At 42.7% G+C, this 4018-nt stretch overlaps 1 annotated feature.

Moving 5' to 3' along the window:
• Positions 3779-4018: an enhancer, noted in NCBI's record as "active region_15834". NCBI's record gives its function as "activates an Ori minimal core promoter by ATAC-STARR-seq in GM12878 lymphoblastoid cells {active_cell/tissue: GM12878}" and the evidence as "EXISTENCE:reporter gene assay evidence [ECO:0000049][PMID:35858748]".

The following is a 4018-nucleotide window of genomic DNA, read 5'->3' on the forward strand; positions in this document are numbered from 1 at the left end:
AGGGAAGTTTCTCTTTTCTTATATTTTTAAAATAAAAAAAATCTAAATACCTTTTTTTTTTTTTAATAGGGTCTCTGCTACTCAGGCTGGAGTGCAGTGGCACGATCACAGCTCACTGCAGCCACATTCTCCTAAGCTCTGGAAGATCCTCCCACTTCAGCCTCCTGAGTAGCTGAGACTACAGGCACGCACAACTATGCTTGGCTAATTTTTGTAAATTAGCCAAGACAGGGTTTTGCCATGTTGCCCAGGCTGGTCTTGAACTTGTGAGCTCAAGAGATCTGCCCGCCTCAGCCTCTCAAAGTGGGATTACAGACGTGAGCCTCTGCAGCCAGCCAACTTTCTTCTTAAATAGCCCAGATCCATTGACCACAAGGGTTGGTTGCGAGGTGGGTGCCAATCCTAGTAACCTGACCATTGATGGTCCAGAGATGGGCACATGACCCAAACCAGGTCAATCAGTACCTTTCCCAGAGTTATTCTTAAACTACAGCCAAAACTTAAGTAGGCACTGTCATCCTGGTGGGAAGATAGGAGAATGTGAGGTTAGTGGATAAATTGTCACCTTGGGAATAAGTTGGGTTGAAAGAGACTTCCCTGGAGAGGGAAGTGAAGAGAGAGAGGGATGGGAAGTCCTGATAGCAATGTGTCCCTCTTTCAGACATCCCTAAGGCCAGTGCCTCTCTCACCCTACCTAAGAACTTAATTATCTGAGCAAATGAATTTTCTCCTTTTTGCTTAAGCCAGTTCAATCTTTCAATCTGGATTTCTGTCCTGTTGTCCTACCACCTTAGCAAATTGATCCCAATTTTCCTTTTTGCCTTGTCATCTGTGTTCTGCATACTCCTTTTTATATAGCTTGCATTCATTAACATAGAATTTTGTATTCTGCTTTTTCATGTGCATTTACTTCATTCATATTTTCCCACAGATGACACGATGGCCATAAATTAGTAATCCTGACAAGTTAATATACCACAATCTACTTAACTGCCTCCCAACTATGGAATATTTAGGCTTTTTGCTTTTTATCCTTATTATACTTAACACTACAATGACCAAATCGGTGTACATAGTTTCATTCTTCTGTTGAATTAATTCTTAAATATCCAAGAGTAGGATTGCTGAGTTCAAGCGTATAAACACTTTCATGGTTTTTGACAGAAAAGTGAATAATTTTTACATTTGAACATTTGGAAAAAGTTTGTTTAGATGTCAAGTGTAGAGAAACTCTCAGTGTTTGTTTGTTTGTTTTAACAGGTCTTGCTCTGTCACCTAGGCTGGAGTGCAGTGATGTGATGATAGCTTGCTGCAGTCTTGAACTGCTGGGCTCAGGGGATCCTCCTGGTGCAGCCTCCCAAGTAGCTGGGACAACAGATGCGTGCCATCACACCAGGCTTGTTTTTGTTTTTGTTTTTGTTTTAAATTATTTGTAAGACAGAGTCTTGCTATGTTGGCCAGGTTGGCCTTGAACTCTTGGTCTTAAGGAATCCTCCCACCTTAGCCTCCCAAAGTGCTGGGATTATAGGCATGAGCCATCGTGCCTGGCCAGAACTCTGCGTTTAAAGTTGAGAGCCTTGGGTCATGCCCTCCTGCCCTGCTTTCAGCCCTGGAGTAATTGCTGCTGTTGCTCATCCAGAACATGCATCCAGGTGAGAAGAAGCATCTGAGGGCCATGGTAACTGCTGTACTGAATTTTTGCTTTGCTCAGGAGTGGAGATCCAGAGTTTGGTGTCGGGCTTTCACAAAGGAAAGGGAGGTAGGGAGGGGCCAGATGCACCAGAAGGGGGTTTCAAAATACCAAGTTCTCCCTATCCACAGCCAGACTCAGAATCTCATGAAGGTGAGTAACCCCTCCACAAGGGATTGTGGTAACAAGTCTCTAATAACTCTTATTATAGCTTCCCATCACACCTTGGATTTTTCCTTCATAGCACTTATTATTGCAAATTATTTTTTTATTTTTTTTTTTTTTGAGACGGAGTCTCGCTCTGTCACCCAGGCTGGAGTGCAGTGGCACGATCTTGGCTCACTGTAAGCTCTGCCTCCCCGGTTCATGCCATTCTCCTGCCTCAGCCTCCCAAGTAGCTGGGACTACAGGCGTCCGCCACCGTGCCCAGCTAATTTTTTTTTGGTATTTTTAGTACAGACTGAGTTTCATCGTGTTAGTCATAATGGTCCCAATCTCCTGACCTCGTGATCCACCCGCCTCGGCCTCCCAAAGTGCTGGGATTACAGGCATGAGCCACCGCGCCCGGCCAATAATGAATTCTTAAGAGGGTGTTAATTTAAGGATTACTTCAGCAGAAGGCAAAAGCTATCCACATTATATTGTCTGTAAGCTCCCTGAGAGCAGGGATTCGTGTCCTTTTTGTTCACCCCTGCATCCAAAGTACCTAAAAAGGGCTCGATACATAGTAGGCACTGAACAAATATTTGTTGGAATGAAGAAATAAGTGAATTAACATAATAAAAGGAATGAGATTAACTATTAGTAGCTGGGACCACAGGCACACACCACCATGCCTGGCTAGTTTTTGTATTTTTAGTAGAGATGGGGTTTTACCATGTTGCCCAGGTTGGTCTCAAACTCCTGAGTTCAAGCGATCTGCCCACCTCAGCCTCTCAAAGTGCTGGGATTACAGGTGTGAGCCACCACGCCCGGCCTTAAAATTCTTAAGGAAGTTTATTTGTGAGCATTTCCCCAATGCTGATATATATTGATGTTAAATCAGCCTTTTGCATATTTTATAATAAAAGACTAACATATCCAAATAAAAAGATTAATTCACAGAGACTTTTTCTGACTGTGTAAGTGAGAAATTATTCTGGCGTTTAGTCAGCCAGATTAGAAAGAGCTCTAGATTAGGAGTCTAGATTAGCTGAGATACCTAGTTCTTATTCCAGCGCTGCTCTCAAACAACCTGCTAGATCGTTAGGAGCCTTTCTGAGCCTCTGGGACTTCTTTTTTTTTTTTGAGATGGAGTTTTGCTTTTGTCGCCCAGGCTGGAGTGCAGTGGCGCCATCTTGGCTCACTGCAACCTCCAACTACCAGGTTCAAGTGATTCTCCTGCCTCAGCCTCCTGAGTAGCTGTGATTACAGGCTCTCACCACCATGCCTGGATAATTTTTTTGTATTTTTAGTAGAGACAGGGTTTCACCATGTTGGCCAGGCTTGTCTCGAACTCCTGACCTCAGGTGATCCACCTGCCTCGGCCTCTCAAACTATTGGGATTACAGGTGTGAGCCACCACGCCCAGCCAACCTCTGGGACTCCTTATATTGGGCGAGAAGATTGAATTTAAAAGACTACTAATAATTGCTACTAGTGGGATAGCCAGTGGTGCTTTTGTGAAAGCACATTTAGTATCTAAGAATGGCATAAGTAGCTGTGAACATGAAGAACTGGTTAATACATTCATTGCTGTGGCTAGTACAGTCTTGAGATCATTACAGGGAAGTGGATGCTAAAATACAAAGTTCACATTTCATGAACTTGAATCATGATTGCTCTTTGGCTGAGCAATTCAAAAGGCTCTCTCAGAACAGGTTCAGTAAAGCCCACTTATATTTAATGCTGCTGGAGAAGAAAAGTGAAATGTCATGAAAGATATACTGAAATTAACCCAAGGCAGACCCTTTGCTATTTGCAGGTCTATAGTAGGACCATTTTACTTACTAGCTTTGTTCTGTGACCTTATAAGTGTCTCTTGAGCTTCCAGCACTCGATTTTTCCCTCAGATACATTTCCCCTGTACTGCTTATCTTGTAAAATTAACTACTGTGTAACAGATGTATGAGCCAAAGCTAATTTTATGAGAAACTTGAGTGAAAGGAAATCAATCTTTCAAGGTCCCTGAAGTCCTAAGATCATAAAGAAAAGGCTAAAGAAGTAGTTTCTGGCTTTTTGCTTTTGATTTCCTTCTTAGTTTCAGTTTTCTTTTTCTGAATCTCTCTCCCCAGATCTTCCCTGGCATATATAGATGCTCATAAACAAAACAATGACAAACACTGGGCT

The sequence above is a fragment of the Homo sapiens genome, chromosome 2 (assembly GCF_000001405.40).
Source record: "Homo sapiens chromosome 2, GRCh38.p14 Primary Assembly".
Lineage (NCBI taxonomy): Eukaryota > Metazoa > Chordata > Mammalia > Primates > Hominidae > Homo > Homo sapiens.